Source organism: Homo sapiens, chromosome 16 (genome assembly GCF_000001405.40).
Source record: "Homo sapiens chromosome 16, GRCh38.p14 Primary Assembly".
In the NCBI taxonomy this organism is placed as follows: domain Eukaryota; kingdom Metazoa; phylum Chordata; class Mammalia; order Primates; family Hominidae; genus Homo; species Homo sapiens.
In genome coordinates this window covers 71,860,937-71,883,698 of record NC_000016.10, presented here as the reverse complement: position 1 = coordinate 71,883,698, position 22,762 = coordinate 71,860,937, and the positions used below count along the sequence as shown (strand labels likewise).

The 22,762-nt window shown below is 44.6% G+C and overlaps 1 protein-coding gene across 21 annotated transcripts in view, besides 2 other annotated features; it reads left to right on the top strand.

Annotated features, from left to right (window-relative positions):
- Window positions 1–22,762, top strand: part of ZNF821 (zinc finger protein 821) — a 35,577-nt gene that overhangs the window by 11,558 nt on the left and 1,257 nt on the right. For 3 of the 21 annotated variants that reach the window (XM_047434342.1, NM_001376297.1, NM_001201552.2), the window contains 6 exons: window positions 426–488; window positions 3,676–3,792; window positions 15,662–15,787; window positions 18,651–18,796; window positions 19,457–19,561; window positions 21,757–21,923. In XM_047434342.1, the coding sequence (XP_047290298.1) occupies window positions 3,753–3,792; window positions 15,662–15,787; window positions 18,651–18,796; window positions 19,457–19,561; window positions 21,757–21,923 (584 nt within the window). In that variant the 5' untranslated portion in view covers window positions 426–488; window positions 3,676–3,752. Of the gene's footprint in view, window positions 1–157; window positions 489–2,264; window positions 2,383–3,222; window positions 3,277–3,675; window positions 3,793–15,661; window positions 15,807–17,571; window positions 17,660–18,650; window positions 18,797–19,456; window positions 19,562–21,756; window positions 21,924–22,762 lie in introns of those variants that run through there. The other 18 variants (XM_011523212.4, XM_011523214.3, NM_001201554.1 and 15 more) reach the window with 15 other exon arrangements.
- Window positions 12–131: a silencer, noted in NCBI's record as "silent region_7686". NCBI's record gives its function as "represses an Ori minimal core promoter by ATAC-STARR-seq in GM12878 lymphoblastoid cells {active_cell/tissue: GM12878}" and the evidence as "EXISTENCE:reporter gene assay evidence [ECO:0000049][PMID:35858748]".
- Window positions 492–691: an enhancer, noted in NCBI's record as "active region_11085". NCBI's record gives its function as "activates an Ori minimal core promoter by ATAC-STARR-seq in GM12878 lymphoblastoid cells {active_cell/tissue: GM12878}" and the evidence as "EXISTENCE:reporter gene assay evidence [ECO:0000049][PMID:35858748]".

Here is a 22,762-nt window from a genome sequence, read left to right as displayed (position 1 = left end):
GGGCGCGGGGCGCGGGGTGCGGGGCCGGGGGGCTTTTGCGCGGGCCGCGGGCACCCCGCCTCCTCGGGCCCCGGCGGGGACGGCCCCGGCGTCTGACAGCCTTGGGTGGAGCTGGGGGAGGGGAGGATGGGCGTGGGCGTGCAGACCGGGGGGTATCAGTCCCCGCGTCTGGGTCTCGCAGAAAAGCTTCTAAATTTAGATTTCGGAGATTGTGTTGTCTAAGGGTTTGTCTGAGCCGCCTCGGAAGACCTCCGGCTCTTGTCAGGCTCTTGTCTGGTAATTCCTGGGAATTTACCTGGGCTCATGCTTGAAGAAGCAGAGGGACCATCTCGGCTGATTAGACACGCCCCAGACCCAACCCCAGGGGTCAGGTGAACAGCCAGGCGGCTAAGTGACCAGCTTTCTTGTCCTCTCCTTTTTGGCAGATACAGATCACTTGGATTCAGTCGAGTTTGCTTTGCTCCGTGGGAACTGCACCAGAGCTGGAGGTGGGAACGCACTCTCTTTTCATCAAGCTGAGATTTCACTCGTTTTTTTTCTTGCCAAAGTCTGTGGTGTGCCCTAGACGCTGCAACCTAATACCTGTGGGAGAGCAGAGACAGTGTTCAGGGGAGACGTTGCACCTTCCCGAGGACTCTTAACCTTGCTCTGAAGACAGACAGAACTGCTTTCCTTTTAAAATGGAATCCCTTTAGACCTGAATCTCACCGTTTACCTGTCTTCCCAGCCCATGTTCAGGCAGCTATCTATTTACATTTTTGGTTTGGTTTGGTTTCAGGTTTTGGCTTGGAAATTGAGGCAGTGTTAAAAGTAAAACAAAATGAGTGACCTTTAGGGCTGTATGTCTCTGGGTTTTATTAGCTTTAACTGCCTATAAAACAAGTCATCTGGCCTCTGAGATCTTGCTTTGTGGTCAAGAGTGTCCTTTCAGCGCCATTTATTTATTTACTTATTGATTTTCAACAGCCCATGACCCCACAGGCCTGTTTTTGTGGGTGTTTTTGTTATTATTTTCGTTTCGTTGTGTGGGAGGGGACTGTAATTGCTTATTTTTCTCTTGATCACTCAGGTGTGAAGTCCCATTGGGTACCATCTGGTCAGTTCCCCATTTGGCCACTAGGAGGATTATAAGATGCAGCGGGCATTGCTGATTTAAATACGCAGACACTCATCTCTGTCTTTTGACTTGGAGCTTTAATATTGAAATGTTGTCTGGTTCAAATTATTTGGCCTTCCTTCAGAAGGGACTTTATTACCTTTATCTTACAGTTTCAGTTTCTGATCTTGAAGGGAGAAAATATAAAAATTAGTCAAGATTCTGTTTTTTCTTCTATAATAGAGTATATATATATTTAGCCTCAATAGATTATCACATTAGAGGAGTATATTTTATTTTTTTAAATTTTTATTTATCTTTTTTTTTTTTTTTTGAGACGGAGTCTCGTTCTGTCGCCCAGGCTGGAGTGCAGTGGTGCGTTCTTGGCTCACTGCAACCTCCGCCTCCCGGGTTCAAGCAATTCCCTGCCTCAACCTCCTGAGTAGCTGAGATTACAGACATGCATCACCACGCCCAGCTAGTTTTTGTATTTTTAGTACAGACGGGGTTTCACCATGTTGGCCAGGCTGTTCTCAAACTCCCGACCTCAGGTGATCCACCCGCCTCAGCCTCCCAAAGTGCTGGGATTACAGGCGAGAGCCACCGCCCATGGCAGTTTTTTATCTTTTTTTGAGATGGAGTCTCACTCTGTTGCCCAAGCTGCAGTGTAGTGCCTCCATCCCAGCTCACTGCAACCTCCCCTCCCCAGGTTCAAGCGATTCTCATGCCTCAGCTTCCCGAGTAGCTGGAATTTACAGGTGTGCACCACCATGCCCAGCTAATTTTTGTATTTTTATTAGAGGTTTCCCCATATTGGCCAGGCTGGTCTCAAACTCCTGGCCTCAAGTGATCTGCCTGCCTTGGCCTCCCAAAGTGTTGGGATTACAGGCGTGAGCCACGGTGCCTGGCCATATTTTTAAAAATATTAATAGAGCCTGCATTTCATTACCTTTCCACTTGGTGATTCCACACACATATAGGAAATCCAAAGTGTGATATTCATTCACTGCTTCCGTGAATAAAACAACTACTTGATTAGAAAAAAATGACATACACAAAACTTAGAGAACATACACTATCAGCACTCAGTATATTGCCCTCTAAATAGTTTAAATTGATTTTTATTGTATACATTTAGAGTTTTGTTTTGTTTTGTTTTTAATTAAAGGTCTGAAAAAGAACTGTGTTTGATATGCAGATATGCTAGAAGACTGCCTGAAAGCTGCTTCCTTTGCCACTTCCTGTGGAGGCCTGTCTTTGCCATTTGCGGTTTCTTTATTCTTTTGGTAAGGGGAGGCAGGATCTGATTATAGGTTTGAGGTCCTTCTAGCTACATAGAGGAGTTAGTTGGCATAACAGGAGGTGAGTCTTCATTAACTGGAGTACAAAATATAGCTAGCAGTAGTCTCCCATAACTCCTCTTAAGGCAATAAACTATGATTTTATGTTTGCTTATTCAATGTGAGTATAACTCAAGAAGGCAGGAACTGAAAGAAAACTTAAGAGTGTGACCAGATCCATATTCCTGTCTTTGGTAGGAAAGACAATCCCTTTTTATTCTATGTCTTTATTCACTCTTTCTAAGAAAATGACACAGCTATCAATACTAATCCATCTCAGATTCTCTAACAATGCTTAAGGCTGGGGCACTCTTTCTGTAGTTAATCAGGAACCTTCAGGCTTACGTATATATCCCCTCCTATATGGGGTGGGGAGCAGATGCATGTCTTGGCAGCATTTTTCGTTTGGGGAACTTTTCTCTTTATTCCTCCCACTGTTCTCTTTGCTACCCAGAGGCTAGATTGAGAAGAGCCTCTAAAGTTATTAACTTTGACCACCTCTCTGGAATGTGTGAGGAGGGCCAGGTGGTATTCCACACTGGGGTGTTGAATTAGTACTCATCAATGTGGATGGCATCTGTCTCTTCTGGTGAGAGCCCATCTTCAACATTAGAAGTTTGATTTGCTTAGTGCCATGTCATTCACAGTGCAGCATAGCATTGCGCCTGTATCACCAGATAGAGGCTTTATTTCCCATGCTGTTCTCATTTACAGATGCCTATTTGAGACATTTTCTGTCTCGCAGGGATGTGATGCCTTTGCTACCTCTAGGCAAGATAACATCATGAAAAATCCGCTGGTGTAGACTGCAGGGCTTGACTTCCAGTGGGCATGTGACATGTGAGCTGCCACCCTCTTTGGCTTCCTTTTGCTTCCTTTTGCAATTCATCGGAGTTATCCCCTTGAGCCCACAGTACTTCTAACCCTGGATGCCTGAGTTTTACTTCCTCTTTTATCCTGTGACCTTGATCATGATCACTTAACAGTATTCTGGATTCCAAAGATGGATTTAGAGTATAATTCTCTAAGTCCTCTGAGGGAGTCCCCTCTTAAACTTTCTGGGACCTTGACGTTAGGCTAGAGATTTATTCATTTCTTTCTTTCTTTCATTAGTTCAATTATTTATAACTGGTGAGTTTTATATGCTCAGGAGCTGTTTTTTAAGGACATTTTATCTTTAAATTTTGTGTAACTGCTGGGGAAAATGACATGTGCTAACAATAACCTTTTTTATTGCAGGTTAGCATCTTGCAAGGAGGTAGTAACATATCCAGTCGTGAAACTGGGAAAGACCAGAGCTCTTGCATCAGGGAAACATGTCCCGTCGGAAACAGACAAATCCAAATAAAGTTCACTGTGAGTATCGGGCTTTGTCTTCTGGAACCTGGGAATGCTAAGGGGTGGAATGGAAGAGTAACCTGAATTTAGGGGAGAAGCTCACGCTAATTTGTGAAGAAGAAAAGTTTAAATGTAAAACACAGTTTGCTGAGCAGAAGAGAAAAAAAGAAAGAAAGAAAAAGGGTTAAAAATGTTGGAAATGGTGGATTTAAAGTGTGTCTGGTTGCTGGGGGAGGTGTTGGAAACCTATCTTAGGGGTATGTACACTTGATATATCTTTAATATCACATTAACAAACAGTTATAGGATACCTACTCTCTGCAGATCCTTGTGCTAGATGTCAGGGCTCTAAACCAATATAAGATCTATAAGACCGTATTGTAACCTCAGATATATAAATATGAATGATAGTATATGCTAATTGCCAAACAGATGCTGCAGACTGTATGTACTAGAGAAGTTCGGAGGAAGGAAGTTAAAAGAGCTCAGTGGACTGAAGTAGCAAGGGGAATGCTTAATGGAAAAGCCTCTAGACCATGCGCCTGAACTGGGCCTTAGAGGGTAGAAAATGGATTTGAAAAAAAAAATTAAAAAACAAGAGGCAGGGAGAGGGAACATCAGGTAGGGAAAGTGAAGTGAGCAAAGACAGAAGCGGGAATCCACATGTTCAGAGGACAAGGAGACTTTATATGAAGCAGAGGTCTCATTTGTTCAAAAGTCAGAAGATGTGAGGTTAGAGATGCTTAACTCTACACGTGGAAGGCTGAATGCCAGGCCAAGTTCAAAGTTCATTCTATAGTCCGTAGGGAACTACTGAAGGTTTTTAAGCAGGGAGAGGGGAGTGACATTTAGAATACAGCGTTTTGGTACTATGAAGCAATTTGTGGGATGGATCACAAGAGGGAGAGGCTAGAAACCAGAAGGCCAAGTATACACTATTACCTTGTGTTGTTTTCAACAGTGTCACATGCATGTTTTTCTTTGCTTTTTTTTTTTTTTTTGAGACAGAGTCTCGCTCTGTCACCCAGGCTGGAGTGTAGCAGTGTGATCTCTGCAACATCGGCCTCCTGGCTTCAAGCAATTCTCCTGCTGCAACCTGCCGAGTAGCTGGGATTAAGGTGCTCGCCACCATGCCCAGCTAATTTTTTTGTATTTTTAGTAGAGACAGGGTTTCACCATGTTGGCGAGGCTGGCCTTGAACTCCTGACCTCAGGTGATCTGGCCACCTCGGGCTCCCAAAGTGCTGGGATTACAGGCATGAGCCACCGCACCTGTTGCATATTTTATTTCAGTAATTGCATAGTAAACTTCTAGAAGGCAGAGACTATGTGCCATATGTATTTCCTTATGTATCCTCTTTACTTCTAGCACTACTCATAGAAGGTGTTCAAAAAGTGCCTTCTTAAATTGACATTAATATCTACACAGATTTGAGATAATTAGCCATTTTCCTATTATCTGGGAAGATAATCGTTCCCACCCAAATGTTCGTTAAAAAGACAAATAGTGGCCGGGCGCGGTGGCTTGCACCTGTAATCCCAGCACTTTGGGAGGCCGAGGTGGGCCATATCACCTGGGGTAAGGAGTTGGAGACCAGTCTGGCCAACGTGGCAAAAAACTCATCTCCACTAAAAATACAAAAAAAATTAACCAGGCATGGTGGCAGGCACCTATAATCCCAGCTACTCTACTTGGGAGGCTGAGGCAGGAGAATCACTTGAACCTGGGAGGTGGAGGTTGCAGTGAGCCAAGATCGTGTCACTGACTCCAGCCTGGGCAAACATAGACTCCATCAAAAAAAAAAAAAAAAAGACAAATAGTTCCCTATTATTATGAACTGTTTGAGTAAAGTGCAGCAACATTTGAAGAGAATTCAGAGGTATAACAGATGAAAAGTTTGTAAAAAACAAAAAACCTATATATGTGTGTATATATATATAAAATATATATACATATATATTTATATATATTTTATTTTTTTATATAATATATATAATTTTTTTTTGAGATGAGGTGTTGCTCTGTTGCCCAGGCTGGAGTGCAGTGGCGTGATCTCAGCTCACTGCAACCTCGACCTCCTGGGCTCAAGCGATCCTCCCACCTCAGCCTCCCGAGTAGCTGGGACTACAGGTGCATGCCACCACGCCCGGCTAAATATTTGTATTTTTTGTAGAGACGGGGTTTCACCATGTTGCCCAGGCTGGTCTTGAACTCCTGAGCTCAAGTGACCTACCCACCTCAGCCTCCCAAAGTGCTGGGATTATAGGCATGAGCCACTGCAGCTGGCTAAAACCCTACATTGGAGAGGACAGATTAGTCAAGTAATTGACAAGATAACTAAAATTTCTTAAAAACATGCTATATAGGCTGGGCGCAGTGGCTCACCACTGTAATCCCAACACTTTGGGAGGCCAAGGCAGGAGGATTGCATGAGCCCAAGAGTTCGAGACCAGCCTGAGCAACATGGCAAAACCCCGTTTTTTCAAAAAAATACAAAAAAACTAGGCCTGGGGGCATACATCTATAGTCCCAGCTACTCAGAAGGCTGAGGTGGGAGGATGGCTGGAGCCTGGGAAGTTGAGGCTGCAGTGAGCCAAGATTATGCCACTGCACTCCAGTCTGGGTGCCAGAGTGAGACCCCGTCTCAAACAAACAAACAAAAACCAAAAAACTATATCCCAGGCACTATGCACTTTATCTGAATCTTACTGGGTTACTTCAAGAGTAGAAGACAAAATAGTATAAACAGAGGAATTAAGAGGGTTTTGACATTTTATACATTAATGAGATTACAATAGCAAACCTCCATATAAAATTCTTTCTTCTATTTAAGTCCCGGAAAAGTGTAAAACGGAACGAGTTGGATGCTTCTAGGAGTATATTCTGGAATGGGGGTGTGCAAAGGCTACTTAATACACAGATGAGTGGTTTAGGGAAGATTTAGAAATTGCTGCTAAAACAGCAAAATGCAGTGGGCTTGCACGTGAGGATTGTCAAGGAAGATAAAATGAAGTATCTTTAGCCGAGCTCGGTGGCTCATGCCTGTAATCCCAACACTTTGGGAGGCCAGTGCAGGATAACTTGAGGCCAGGAGTTTGAGTGCAGCATGGGCAACAAGGCAAAACTCCATCTGTACCAAAAATACAAAAATTAGCTGGGCGAGGTGGCACACACCTGTAGCGCCAGCTACTTGGGAGACAGAGGTGGGAGGATCGCTTGAACCCAAAAGGTCGAGGCTGCAGTGAGCTGAGAGAGCTGAGATCATGCCACTGCACTCCAGCCTGAGCGTCGGAGTGAGATCCTGTCTCCAAAAACAAAAAAAGAAAAAGAGAAAGAAAAAAATGAAGTATTTTAGCATAGGCCATCCATCACAGGGGTTTAGGATTGTTTCTCCTCTCTGGTTGATAAAAGACACAAGTGGCCGGGCACAGGTGGTGCACGCCTGTAATCCCAGCACTTTGGGAGGCCGAGGCAGGAGGTGGATCATGAGGTCAGGAGTTTGAGACCAGCCTGGCCAAGATGTTGAAACCCCATCTCTACTAAAAATACAAAAATTAGCCGGGTGCAGTGGCGGGTGCCTGTAATCCCAGCTACTCGGGAGGCTGAGGCAGGAGAATCACTTGAACTCGGGAGGCAGAGGTTGCAGTGAGCCGAGATAGTGCCACTGCACTCTAGCCTGGGCAACAGAGCAAGACCCCGTCTCAAAAAAATAAATAAATAAAAAGACACAAGTGTGACCCCAAGAAGGCATCTGGAAAGGTACTCTTAGTAGAAATGATAGGTTCACAAACAAGGCAAGTATAGGAGTTGGGTGTTCACCTACAAAAGCCATCTGTCCAAGAGCCTGCTTAGATTTGAGGAAAGTAGCTGGTGGGGTGATGGTGTGATTGTAGTAAGGCCAGGGGAGCCACTTCAGGCTTGTGTGGCCAATGTCTATGCCCACGTAGCATATATCCATAAGCTGCATCTCCCTGCACCATAGTCAAAGCCAAGATGAGCTATTAATGGAGTTGAAAAATAGATGGAGGCTAGGCGTGATAGCTCACGCTTGTAATCCCAGCACTTTGGGAGGCCAAGGTGGGCGGATCACCTGAGGTCAGGAGTTTGAGACCACCCTGGACAACATGGTGAAACCCTGTCTCTACTAAAAATATAAAAATTAGCGCCAGGCGTGGTGGCTCACGCCTGTAATCCCAGCACTTCGGGAGGGCGAGGCCGGCGGATCACGAGGTCAGGAGATCGAGACCATCCTGGCTAACACGGTGTAACCCCGTCTCTACTAAAAATACAAAACAAACAAAAAATTAGCCGGGCGTGGTGGTGGGTGCCTGTAATCCCAGCTACTCGGGAGACTGAGGCAGGAGAATGGTGTGAACCTGGGAGGTGGAGCTTGCAGTGAGCCGAGATCGCACCACTGCGCTCCAGCCTGGGTGACAGAGCAAGACTCCGTCTCAAAAAAAAAAAAAAAGAAAAAAATTAGCTGGGCATGGTGGCGCACGCCTATAATCCCAGCTACTCAGGAGACTAACACGGGAGAATCACTTGAGCCTGGGAAGCAGAGGTTGCAGTGAGCCAAGATCACACCACTGCACTCCAGCCTGGGCGACGGAGTGAGACTCCATCTCAAAAAAAAGGAAAAAAAGAAAAACAGATGGAAAAACAGGCCATGGAGGTGAGGAGAATATCACACATCCACAGTTGCATAAATGAAGTTACAGAGTCAAGCGAAAGAACATTGTTTTGAGGTGGAGTAGGTGGGACTTTGCAGGCTCTGTGGAGGTGGCCATTACAAGGGCCTTTACTGCGGGGCTGTGAGCACAGATGTTCAGCTACAACTAAAGAGCAGACCCCCAGGGAGGGGCTGTTTTCAGTCATGCATTTGGTCAGGGAGCCATGAAGGCTTCTCAGGTGATACACTAAGCTTGACTAAAAAAGAAAAACTGAGATTTGCTAGTTTCAGAGGACCTTCTATTTATTTGTTATTTGGGAACTGAAGCTGACCCTACCCTTTTCAAAAGATCATCTTTTCATTGCGTATGGCAATAGTGGCAAGTAGAAATAGGTAATTTCATTTTCTGACCATGTGAGTCTCCTATCACCTTGCAGTGAAATAGAACCAACTAAATATATTTAATTTAATGCTGCTTGTCTATTAAAAGTAAATGAAATGGGGCCTAGCGTGGTGGCTCATACCTGTCATCTCAGCACTTTTGGAGGCCGAGGCAGGCAGATCACTTGAGGTCAGGAATTCAAGACCAGCCTGGCCAACATGGCAAAACCCTGTCTCCACTAAAATCCAAAAAAATAGCTGGGCATGGTGACACACGCCTGTAATCCTAGCTACTTGGGGGGCTGAGGCAGGAGGATTGCTTGAACCCAGGAGGCAAAGGTTGCAGTGAGCCGAGATCACGCCACTGGACTCCAGCCTGGACGACAGAATGAGACTTGGTCTCAAAAAAATAAATACACAAAATAAAGTAAATGAAATGGACTCAAGGTCTGGGGGGCAGGAAAGTCTGCATTAAGCTTTGCTTAAATATAAAAGTTAATTGACACTTGAGCAGAGTAACGGCTGAGCTTCATTAGATCTGCCTTCTGGGAAGACGAAGATTGTGTGGCATGAAACTAATAGGCCACCTAAAGGGATATATTAAGAATTCCCAGGTCGGGCTCAGTGGCTCATGCCTGTAATCCCAGCACTTTGGGAGGCCGAGGCGGGTGGATCACCTGAGGTCAGGAGTTCAAGACCAGCCTGGCCAACATGGTGAAACCCTGCCTCTACTAAAAAAAATACAAAAATTAGCTGGGCATGGTGGCGGGTGCCTGTAATCCCAGCTACTCGGGAGGCTAAGGCAGGAAAATCGCTCTGACCTGGGAGATGGAGGTTGCAGTGAGCCAAGGTCGCGCCATTGCACTCCAGCCTGGGCAACAAGAGCAAAACTCCATCTCAAAAAAAAAAAAAAAAAAATTCCAGCCGGGCGTGGTCGCTCACACCTGTAATCTCAGCACTTTGGGAGTCTGAGACAGGAGAATTGCTTGAGGCCAGGAGTTCGAGACCAGCTTGGGCAACATAGTGGGACCTGATTTCTACAAAAAATTTAAAAATTAGCCAGGCACAGTGCTCATGCCTGTAATCCCAATACTTTAGGAGGTTGAGGTGAGAGGATTGTTTGAGCCTGGGAGTCCAAGGCTGCAATGAGCTATGATTGCACCACTGCACTCCAGCCTGGGTGACAGACCAAAACCCTATCTCAAAAAATATATATATATTTTTAAAAAAGAATCCCACTGCTGTAACCCAGCAACATTTGATGGATCCACATTAGAAGCCAGTGGGCAGCTGCTTTGGCACTTGCTGGGTTTTTATCAGGACTGTTTTTATGTCTAAATCACTGGCATGATCCTTTCCTCAGAAATATCTAGTTAGACTCTTGTATTTTGCCCACTTCACTTCATTAACAGACTCGTTACAGAGCTTTTGGAATAAAAGCCCAAAATTGTTATTAGTTATGGAAAAACTGCTGACGGGCTGAAATCTGTGTTAGACCTTCTCCCTACCTCCTTCCCCATTTTACCCCTTCTGAGTACAGTTTTTTTTTTTTTGAGACAGCATCCTGCTCAGTCGCCCAGGCTAGAGTGCAGTGGCATGATCTTGGCTCACTGCAACCTCCGCCTCCCAGGTTCAGGCAATTCTCCTGCCTCAGCCTCCCAAGTAGCAGGGATTACTTGCGTTCATCACCATGCCCAGCTAATTTTTGTATTTTTAGTAGAGACAGGGTTATGCCATGTTGGCCAGGGTGGTCTCAAACTCCTGATCTCAAGTGATCTGCCCACCTCAGCCTCCCAAAGTACTGGGATTACAGGCATGAGCCACCTCGCCCAGCCCTGAGTACACATTTCTGTCAACTACTTGTAGAAAGGTTGAAAATACAGTGTGTTGTACACTTTCATTTAGTGTGTTTGAACTAACCAAACCACTAAGCAAATGAAAACCTCTTTTACTTGAGAGACTTTTGCTTTCAGATTGTAAAACACATGAGTGACTTAAAACTTTCAACTTCAACTAAAAGCTTTACAAAGAGAAGGAGGAATAAAAGCCTTTGAAGTCCTTTCTCTTATAAAAAGCACAACTTGCTTAGTTTTTATTTATTCTGTTAGCATCCTCGTGAAGTAAATGGCTATGTTCCCCACTTTGGATAGCACCGTGGATTACAAAGACTGTCAGCTAGAGATGGAATCCTAAGCTCCTCACTCCCAATACTAGCTCATTTTTCCTGAACTGGATATCTGCTCTCTTTTTTTTCTTTTTTTTGAGACGGAGTCTCGCTCTGTCGCCCAGGCTGGAGTGCAGTGGCGTGATCTCGGCTCACTGCAAGCTCCACCTCCTGAGTTCACTCCATTCTCCTGCCTCAGCCTCCCGAGTAGCTGGGACTACAGGCGCCTGCCACCACGCCGGCTAATGTTTTTGTATTTTTAGTAGAGACGGGGTTTCACTGTGTTAGCCAGGATGGTCTCGATCTCCTGACCTCATGATCTACCCACCTTGGCCTTCCAAAGTACTGGGATTACAGGCGTGAGCCACCGCGCCCGGCCTATCTGCTCTCTTAAAGAATGTTCCAGCTGCTTTACTTAATTGTAGTCAGCTTGAAATTACATTTGTTTAACTGCACCAAGGACCCAAGAGAGAACTGTAAAATCTTTACCTTTCTAATAACTTTCATCTCATTCCTCTCATCTGTTCTCCAAACTTGCTTACATGGCCTTGTTCTCATCTGGTCTGAAAAACCTTAACCAGGCCGGGCGCAGTGGCTCACTCCTGTAATCCCACCACTTTGGGAGGCCAAGGTGGGTGGATCACCTGAGGTTGGGAGTTCGAGACCAGCCTGACCAACATGGAGAAACCCCGTCTCTACTAAAAATACAAAATTAGCCAGGCGTGGTGGTGCTTGCCTGTAATCCCAACTACTTGGGAAGTTGAGGCAGGAGAATCGCTTGAACTCAGGAGGCGGAGGTGGCAGTGAGCCGAGATTGCGCCATTGCACTCCAGCCTGGGTGACAGAGCGAAAAACTCTGTTTCAAAAAAAAAAAAAAACCTTAGCCAAATTGCAGACAAACAGTATTTTCTTGATTTTGTATCCAAAAATAAAAGGAGAGAGAACACCTTGGTTTTTATTGTGAGAGTGTAGTTGACTCTTAGCTATTAATAGACAAATAAATACACATATTAAATAAGATGGCTGCCCTACATTAATATCTAGGGACCAGAGGATTTTTTTAAACCTACTCCAGAGGTCTCAAGACAGAAGGGAATAATAATTCTAATATTATAAAAATAGGCAGTTCTGTAACACTTCTTAATCACTAGTATCTCCATAGATCACATTAGACATTATACGGCAGTTAACATGACATGCTTTTAGCAAGTCTCACTGCCTTCTTATGAAGGGATAATTCTGGACAATTTTATTTGGAGATTAGGTAAATAGTAACTACTGGAAGATAATTCACATATCTTTTCTTATGAGGTCTGCTAAAATTGCTTCTTTTTTATGGTTTTGATATATTTTGCTTTATGGTGATATTTAAAATAGGAATAGTTCTGAGGAATAAAGTTCACCTTTATTCTTTTTCCCAAGTCAGGAATAGACTAAAATATAAGAACACAAGCTTTTCTTTCCAAATTGCCAAAAAGGAATGACAGAATTAACTTCTCCCGGTTACACCAGGTGAGATTGCCTAAGAGTCCTAGATAGGCAAGTTGTGTTGAACAGACTCTCTCTCTTTCCATGAAAGCCTCAATATTTAGACAACATCAATAGAAAAAAATAACTTTTGAGCTCAAGTTGGAGACGAAACTGAATTACTGACTCATCTTGAAAGGTACATATCCTTTTAGGTGTCTTTTTACTAATCCAATGGTGAATCCAAGAAAGAGGATAGAATGTTTATTCTTAGTATGTTCTAAATCTAGCTGGTTTCTAAGTTTCTTTGGAGACCAGAAGTATCACTGATGAGAAAGGTCTTCCCCTTGATAATTATATGCTAGTACATAACTTGTTCCTTAGTGCTATGTCTGCCCATAGCTCCTAGGTCTGAAAACATGCACCTACCCGAAAGAATTCAATAACTATTACAGTTGGCCCTTGGCCAGGCACAGTGGCTCATGCTTGTAATCCCAGCACTTTGGGAGGCCGAGGCGGGAGGATCACTTGAGGTCAGGAGTTCAAGACCAGCCTGGCCAACATGGTGAAACCCCATCTCTACTAAAAATACAAAAATTAGCCAGGCGTGGTACTGGGCACTTGTAATCCCTGCTACTCAGGAGGCTAAGGCAGGAGAATCTCTTGAACACAGGAAGCAGAGGCTGCAGTGAGCCAAGATCACGCCACTGCACTCCAGCCTGAGACTCTTGTCTCATATTAAAAAAAAAAAAAAAAAGGAAAGTACCAATTGGCCCTGGTCCTGGTGCAGTGTAACCAGCATGGAGAAATTAAGTATTTCACTTCTGCAAAGGGACAAGGAAGTATTCCCCCATCAAATTCATTTTTTTTTTTTGTTTTCTCTACCCAGTAATTTATATCCAATGTGTCATCTTGGATATTGTGAAGATGGACTTAAAACAGCTTATTTTTCCTTTCCTTGAGGGATATGTAGCTAAGAGTAGACTTTAACATGAACCACCTCCATTCCCAATCACAGTATGAGTCATAATAGCCATAATGTTAGTTACTGTAATCCAAGCATGATAACTCATGATGTGGTATCAGAACCATCATTTGTCTTTTGATCATATACTGGCCCTGATAACATAATTTTGCTATTTGAGTTGTATGTATCCATTTCTCATGGTATGAAGGAAACACTAACACTAGGATCAGAGCCGTTCTCACACAGAGATAAGAGTTTGTTTTCAGCAAAACCATCTGAGGAAGCTTCTAACCTTCTAATTACATCTCTATTAGAAGGCAGTTAAGGAATATAGACATTAGGCTGGGCGCAGTGACTCACACCTGTAATTCCAACACTTTAGGAGGTCGAGGTAGGGGGATCCCTTGAGAGCAGGAGTTGCAGATCAGCCTGGACAACACAGTGAGACCCTGTCTATACAAAAAATAAAAATATTGCCAGGCATGATGGTGCACACCTGTAGTCCCAGCTACTCTGGAAGCTGAGGTGGGAGGATTGCTTGAGACTGCGAGGTTGAGACTGGAGTAAGCCATGATCACACCACTGCACTCTAGCCTGGAGGAGAGAATGAGACCCTGTCTCAAAAAGAAAAAAAAAGAAAAAGGACATTAGAGTTAGATGTGGGTTTGAATACTTGGTTCCACCGTTAACCTTAGTTTTCTCCTAAGTAAATATAGATAGTAATCCCTACCACACGGAGTTTTGCAGAGAATTAAGGTGAGGTGATAACTACAAAACACCATAGAGCCTGGAGCTTGCAAGTGTCAAACTATTATTAGTGTTTGGTAGCTGGCATATAATAGATGCCCAATGAATGTTTGCTGAATGAATGACTAAGGGGATCACATGAAGCCTACTCCACATCAAGTCTTTCACTGCCCAAGGTCTAGGAGTGCAGGTCAGCTCACCATTTAGTTCCTCCCACATCACTGTATCCTATCTCAGAACCTGAGCCTGTATGCCTGCGTACTTTCCTTTCTATCTTCAGCAGGAAAGGGCCTGGCTATTGTCAGACATTTCACTAGGGCTTTTTATTATTCCCTCTTGCTGTCTGGTGAATGAGGACTGTAGTTTCTACTCTGACTGAGATAATAGAAACCTCAAGAAACCCAACTCTCTTTTCTCCTTATGCCTGGTCTCCTGGAAATAAAAGGGCACTTAGTATACTAACTCTTCAGTAGCCTCATGGATCCCAAGCAGAGTTCATGAGAAGTAAATGCAAAATCAAGGATAGGCCTGGGGCCTTGGGGTACTACATTTAAAAAAAAACTGGACTGGCCAGGCATGGTGGCTCACGCCTGTAATCCCAGCACTTTGGGAGGCCGAGGCGGGCGGATCATGAGGTCAGGAGATAGAGACCATCCTGGCTAACACGGTGAAACCCCGTCTCTACTAAAAAATACAAAAAAATTAGCTGGGCATGGAGGCGGGTGCCAGCACTGTACTCCAGCCTGGGTGACAGAGTGAGACTCTCTCTCAAAAAAAAAAAAACTGGACCAAGAAGACTACATGAATATTATTTGTTGTAAATTAGCAGTGTGTTTCAGGAAGTTTGTTCTTCTGCAGAAGTGAGTTCATATCCATTCTTCTTCTAGTCCACTATTCAACCAGTTGTTAATTTTCTCATGGCTAATTATGATAAACATTATAAAGAAAGTCAAGGAAGAACTTCCAGGGTACGTTTTGGAAGAAGAGTGGATGAAAGATGGGGTTAGAGAGATTGTTATTTAGAAGGATGATTTGAAGCACTTGTTTATAGTCAGAGATAAGACACTGAGTCAAGACCATAATGCTAATACATTAAGGTACAGAGACTTGGCCCAGATTTGTTGCCCTGTCTTCATCCCATCACTTTGCCCCTTCTTGCCTCTATCTTCCCAATCCTGATGGAAGGTTGTAAATGGATTTGAGAGTCTGCAGTTACATTTGTGAAGTAGCAGTTGATCACCTTTTGAAAGGAGTCAAGACTAGGAGGATTTAAGAGGAGCAAGTGATGCTGTCTAGAGCATCTGGCTTACTGCCCAGGAAGAGCAGCTGCACCCAGAAGCTGTTGGAGGCAGCAAGCTGACTTGGAGATGAATGACTCCACCACAGGGTACCTGCCTGTCTCCTACCTTTGAATGGTCTGACCTTCCAACCAGCTTGCCTGGGGATATGCTGCCCAGCTGGTGGCCTGACTATTTTTCCTTGTGACCACCAGGGGATCAAGTATTTGCTGGGCTAGAAGAGCAAGCCCGCCAGGCGATGATGAAAACTGATTTTCCTGGAGACCTTGGCAGTCAGCGACAAGCTATCCAACAACTAAGAGATCAGGACTCCAGTAGCAGTGAGTTCTGCACCTTCTGGTAATGACTCAGGGCAATGGGAGAAGAATTATCAGAGTGTGTGTGCTCTGGGGATTGTGCATGGGGGTTGGGAGAAAGACATGAAAAAGGAGATATGTGGATCCTCAGTGTCCCCAAAGGTGGTCTAAGGTGTGTGGGCATGTGTTTATCCAGAAAAAGAGGACAGGTTTGGCATTTTATTTATATATATATACTTTTTTTTTTTTGTGACAGAGTTTCGCTCTTGTTGCCCAGGCTGGAGTGCATTGGCATGATCTCAGCTCACTGCAACCTCCACCTCCCAGGTTCAAGCGATTCTCCTGCCTCAGCCTCCTGAGTAGCTGGGATTACAGGCATACACCACCATGCCCAGCTAATTTTGTATTTTTAGTAGAGACGGGGTTTCTCCATGTTGGTCAGGCTGGTATCGAACTCCTGACCTCAGGCGATCCACTCACCTCGGCCTCCCAAAGTGCTGGGATTATAGGCGTGAGCCACTGCACCTGGCCGATATATATATTTTTAACTTATGGACTACAGTACTTGGCACAGTGCCACATACAGATAGGTTTGTTGGTTGTGATAGGCAAGGATATAGGAATAAATAGTGCTCAAGCAGTCCCTGGGTTAGGTCAAATGAAAAGAAAAAAAATCCCTGTCTCCTAGGATCTATGTATTTGTAATCAATAAAATATAAGGGTGGCATTAATGAAACCTTGCTTGAAGGCCCAGTTTTAATGTTAAACAAGAAGATTTGCTTAGTAATGAGGTTATGCAGTGTATAAAATGCTAACGTCAAGGTCTTCCCATACCAATTCCCTAAGAAGATCCCTGTGGTTACGACAGTAGCTGTTACAAGTTGAGCCTCATGGATTGTCTGTCTGTCCTGTGACCTGTCTGAACAAACACGTCTTGAGATGTGTTTTCCTAGGAAGATTTCAGCACTTTCCCCACCTCATCCATTTGATATTGGTTATTATTAGTATGAATTCAGAATGACTTTTCCAATTTTTCACCACATTTGAGGCTGGGTTGGGTGAAAATGGAGAGAGGACTCTGCAACCTTCTAGGAACTTGTTTCCACCCAAGCTAATAATTAAGCAACATCAACAACATAAAATAACTTAGCAATTAATTGCTCGGGCACAAAAAAATGAACCCAAACATGTCTGGAAAACCTATGGAAGCCACCACTTTCTTGAGTAGCAGGTGGGAATTACAATATCTGCAAACATCTAATAGTTTTCCATTCTGAAGGATGTACTATCCCTCTAGACAGTACACATTTTTAAAAAATTTTTCTAGTAGCGAGATATATTTGGATTATTGCAAAATTACAAAAATATGTTTGATATATCACTTTATATTATATAAAGTTTACAAGTATTTCAGATAAGCTGGGGAGAAAACATGGTATGATGTAATCTGTGCCAATCCTTCATTATTGAGTTGGATTCAAATGAAAGGAGCTTTGGGCTGGGAAATAAGACACACAAACCATAGCTCTTTCCAGGCCCCAAATCCAGTCCACCAGTTGCCTGGAGTATTTATCTAATAAGGACACATGTAACTACTAGCAGATGATTTGGTTAGACCTTCTCATGAAGAAAGGGAATATAACTAGTTTTGCCCAGGAAGAAGGGAAATATGTTGCTCTCATACTGGTGGATTTAGATATTATGCAAGGGTAGTAGAGAAGACAGGCACACTGTTAGCTAGGAAATCTGAGTTTCCTGCGGACAGCCTGGTGAGACTCTGCCCTATATTTCTCTCTTGCTCACATCAGGCCCAGAAGTCCAGGATCCAGGTGGGGTTAAGATAGGGCTGGAGTGTGACAGCTTCCCTAGGCTTGGCTACTTCTTGTGATCTTCAAGGTACTAGCACTTTATTTTTTCCCTTTCAGAAAGAACTACGTTCGTTATTTGTTTTTCTGATCTGTTTTCATTTTCTATTTTATAAGTAATAGAGAAGAAAAATCAGCTCACATAAACCTTGCAGACTCCCCAGCCACAGGCAGACCTCCTCATAGCCACATCCTACCCCTAAAACTAAAACAAACTCAATTCCTATGTTAGTCACAAGAAATTACATTTCATCCTAAAGAATGGCCCGTTCCTTCCACTTAATGCATTCGGTTACCCATTGAGATAATCCAAATAATCAACAGAAACAATGGACTTACTTAGTTTAGAATGCCATGTTACAATAGTAGAGTAAGAACCGAGTGAGTCGGATACCACTGCAAAGTGCCTGAGGTTGGTTGCTGTGCTAATTTTTCCACTGTAATGAGCAGCCCTTTCCCTATAAAGTGACATCATTTCAAACTCATTTACTACTGCTTCCATTGCTGGTAAGAGGGAAGAAAAACTTGATGTTTCTGTAAGTGTGCCTTGAGGTTTGCTGGGAAAGAAGAGATTAGTGGGGTTCAGAGTAGAATAGTATAGTGACACCGTGGAGAAGTTGTGCAGGGGGCTCATGGCAAAATCAGTGGAAAGTGTTGGTAAGTCAGAGGTGGTGTACAGTGGGAATGAGCTCAGTGTAAGGTGCTTGGGGAGGTGTGATTTGAAGTGTGAGATATTTGAAAACCATGAGTCAGAAAGATTATTTTTATAATCATGTAGAGGGCACGATAACCATTTCCAATGCAGTTTTGCTTCACATCTTCCCTTTACGTGTATATGGCATAACAAATGACAGCTATAGTTGGTTTCCACTTGACATAATATGTACCCAACAAAACTATATAAACTATATTATGGAAGATCTGAAAATGTTTTCTATTGTAACTGCCAACTCTAGGGTGGAGAGCAGCTCAGGATGTATTCATGCAAAAATCAGAACAAGTGACCAGTTTGTGTGTTCCAGGTGACAGTGAGGGTGATGAAGAGGAGACGACACAAGATGAAGTCTCTTCCCACACATCAGAGGAAGATGGAGGGGTGGTCAAAGTGGAGAAAGAGTTAGAAAATACAGAACAGCCTGTTGGTGGGAACGAAGTGGTAGAGCACGAGGCAAGTGACGATGGCCCCTGGGTCCAGGTCCAGCAATGCCCTACCCTTCTGCCTGCCCTGATGCTGCTCACCCCTGTGGCACAGTCTTGCCTCTGATGGTCTCCTGGGCCTGCATGGGAGGCCTCTTCCTTCATGGCACCAGAACCCACACCTCAGACTCTCAGTTCTCGCCACACTCAGTTTTCCTTTTCCATCCACGAATCGCTGCGCCTGTGCACAGCTCTCTTTCCTGCAGCTCCCCACGTCTTTCCAGACATGAGAGAAACTTTGTTGAAGTAGAAAGCTGACTTCCCAAGGTGGACTCTTGAATGTGCTTGCAAATCTAAGTCAAGGTGTCACCTGGAGTGCCACCTTCTCACTAACTTGTTTCCTGAGGATTCCTGAAAGGAACATGACAGGAAAAACGCTACCCCTGTCTGCAGAGTTTATCTTCAGGGAAAAAAATTGATTGGCTCTCTCTGAGGCAATCCTGTGTCCTCATGGCTGAAAGCCATAATTCCCTCTCAACTATTACTTTTTCCTTCAGCCCACAAAGGGAAGCTAAGAATAACATGCGCCATCAGTCTGGGTTCCTTTTAACAGGATACCCTGTTTAAAAAGCTGGGGCAGGGAAGAGATGAGTAAAGAGTCCTAATGAGTTGCCTATTTGTTGAATCACAGGTCACAGGGAATTTGAATTCTGACCCCTTGCTTGAACTCTGCCAGTGTCCCCTCTGCCAGCTAGACTGCGGGAGCCGGGAGCAGTTGATTGCTCACGTGTACCAGGTATGGATGGGGGAGCTGTGTGCTCTGGAACACAAGTGTGGGCAGCTTGTCTGTAGCCCAGATCCTGGTTTGGCCTTTGTCTCTCTCTGGCTCCTGAAGGAGTCTTGGGTTGTCACTTCTATTAAGATTCGTCTTAGGGAGGCTGGGCGCAGTGGCTCACGCCTGTAATCCCAGCACTGTGGGAAGCCGAGGCGGGTAGATCACTTGAAGTCAGGAGTTCGAGACCATCCTGGCCAACATGGCGAAACCCTGTCTCTACCAAAAATACAAATATTAGCCAGGTGTGGTGGCATGCGCCTGTAGTCCCAGCTACTCGGGATGCTGTGACAGGAGAATTGCTTGAACCCAGTAGGCGGAGGTCGCAGTGAGCCAAGATCACGCAATTACACTCCAGCCTGGGTGACAGAGTTAGACTCTGTCTCAAAAAGAAAAAAAAAATTCAGCCCAAAGCCAGGTGTGGTGGCTCACACCCAGAATTCCAGCACTTTGAGAGGCTGAAGTGGGGAGGATTGCTTAACCTCAGGAGTTCAAGACCAGCCTAGGCAACATAGCAAGACCCCAGCCCTACAAAATTTTTTTTTAAATTAGTTGGGCATGGTGGCTTGCACCTGTAGTACCAGTTACTTGGAAGACTGAGGTGGAAGGATAGCTTGAGCCTAGGAGGTTGAGGCTGCAGTGATCATGCTTCAGCTAGGGTGACAGAGTGAGACTGTATTAAAAAAAAAAAAAAAAAAAAGAGATTCTGCTCCAAGCTTCCAACATTTTAGAAAATAAATGAGATATATTAGATAAACACATTCTGGGTTTCCGGGCAGACACACTGTGAAAATTAAGTGATTTTTTTTCTAAATTATTTAATGTATATTTTAAATAGTGAAATAGAAACTAATGTATACTAATAATGAGGGCTTTGTGTTAAAGAAAAGAAAATTAGTTAACATGGGCCAGGCGCAGTGGCTCACGCCTGTAATCCCAGCACCTTGGGAGGCCAAGGTGGGCGGATCACTTGAGGTCAGGAGTTTGAGACCAGCCTGGCCAACATGGTGAAACCCTGTCTCTAATAAAATACAAAAAAAATTATCCAGGTGTGGTGGCGCACGCCTATAATCCCAGCTACTCGGGAAGCTGAGGCAGGAGAATGGCTTGAACCTGGGAGGCGGAGGCTGCAGTGAGCTGAGATTATGCCACTGCACTCCAGCCTGGGTGACAAAACGAGACGTGTCTTAAAAAAAAAAAATTAGTTAACACAAATGGTATGTTAAAAATTAGTGTGAACCAGGGGATCCGAATACCAGACTTTTGTGTTCTTTTTACCATGATCCAATCACAGGGCACCTGTACCTCCTGGTCGGTGTTGACAAGGTATCAGCACACATGGCAGCCTGGGCTGTACCATAAAGATAGTTGGTTCATGAGGACAAGTATTTCTTCAGAAGACTATCTTGAAAAGATTGAGAAAGCAAGATATAAATACCTGTTGCATACCAGTATTCCAGGCCAGCTTCTAGATTTGGCCTTTATTGTTCCCTTAACACGTAATTTGTACCTGCACAGTGTGAGCCAGGGAGACAGAGAGAAATTATCCGAGACATGAATTCCTCTTAGGCTCTGAAGAGGGCTCTGGCGCCCCACTGTTGTTGTTGTTTTGTTTTGTTTTGTTTTTGAGACAGAATTTCGCTGTATTACCTAGGCTGGAGTGCAGTGGTGTGATCTTGGCTCACTGTGAACTCCACCTCTCAGGTTCAAGTGATTCTCTTGCCTCAGCTTCCCAAGTAGCTGGGACTACAGGCACCTGCCCCCACACCAGGCTAATTTTTGTATTTTTAGTAGAGATGGGGTTTCACCATATTGGCCAGGCTGGTCTTGAACTCCTGACCTCGTGATCCACCTGCCTCGGCCTCCCAAAGTGTTGGGATTACAGGCATGAGCCACTGTGCCTGGCTCCCACTGTTCCTTAAGTCAGCCACATGTCCCAGAACGTAGGCAGAGCTCAAGCTAATGAAATCTAAGCAGTGGTCTAAATGGCCAGGGCCTCTAATGTAAGAGACTGACTTTTCTAGGGGCTAAACAGAATACTTGGAAGTTCCTTATTCTGAGACTAAAGAAAGGGGACATTTCCCAAAAGTCATTTCTAAGTGGGTGCAGATTGTCCTGGAGGTAGCGCAAGACTGACAGATCAAGGCTCTGTTTTACAGCACACTGCAGCAGTGGTGAGCGCCAAGAGCTACATGTGTCCTGTCTGTGGCCGGGCCCTTAGCTCCCCGGGGTCATTGGGTCGCCACCTCTTAATCCACTCGGAGGACCAGCGATCTAACTGTGCTGTGTGTGGAGCCCGGTTCACCAGCCATGCCACTTTTAACAGGTCAGCTGGGCACTTATCCCTGTTGTGCTGGGAGCAAATTACTGGGTGTGAGTTCTGCTTTCTGAAGTCAAAGCGAAGGCTAGAAATAGGTAATGCAAAGGCAGCTGATGCATGCTCCTTGGAAGTACAAGTAAGAAGGCTAGGAAATATGCCTATTCCCTCACATAGCCCCAAAGGAAAATGAATTCCCATTTATTTTCCCATCAGAATATCTTCAACTAGAAAGAGATGTAGGCAATTCCAAGAACACTCATGATAAAGCATGGAGAAAGAAGTTATAGGGTAGAGAGGACCCTGGCATGAGGATGCAGTCTCCATCGTGTCCTAGGAAGACTGGAACGTTGTGTCCTTGTCCCGTTTGTCTAGTGTACAGTGCAGAGTCTGCCTTTGCATGCAGGTAGTGTGAGGGAAGGAGGTGAGTTGGTGGTCTGCACCTTGCCTGAAGGAGGTCTCCACCTCCAGGAGCCTCCATTCCCACAGCAGGACTGCCCCTGCAAAGCTCTTATCAAAATCATTATTCTGGCTTGAGTGAAAACACCAAGGGTTTGTCTGATTTCTGGTGCATTGCTGTGGCAGGTGGCTCAGTTAACTCCAGATGGGCTTTTAGAGTTGGTAGACACCCGGCCGGGCACAGTGGCTCACGCCTGTAATCCCAGCACTTTGGGAGGCCGAGGCGGGTGGATCACAAGGTCAGGAGTTTGAGACCAGCCTGACCAATGTGGTGAAACCCCGTCTCTACTAAAAATACAAAAATTAGCCGGGCGTGGTGGCGTGCGCCTGTAATCCCAGCTACTCAGGAGGCTGAGGCAGGAGAATGGCTTGAACCTAGGAGGCGGAGG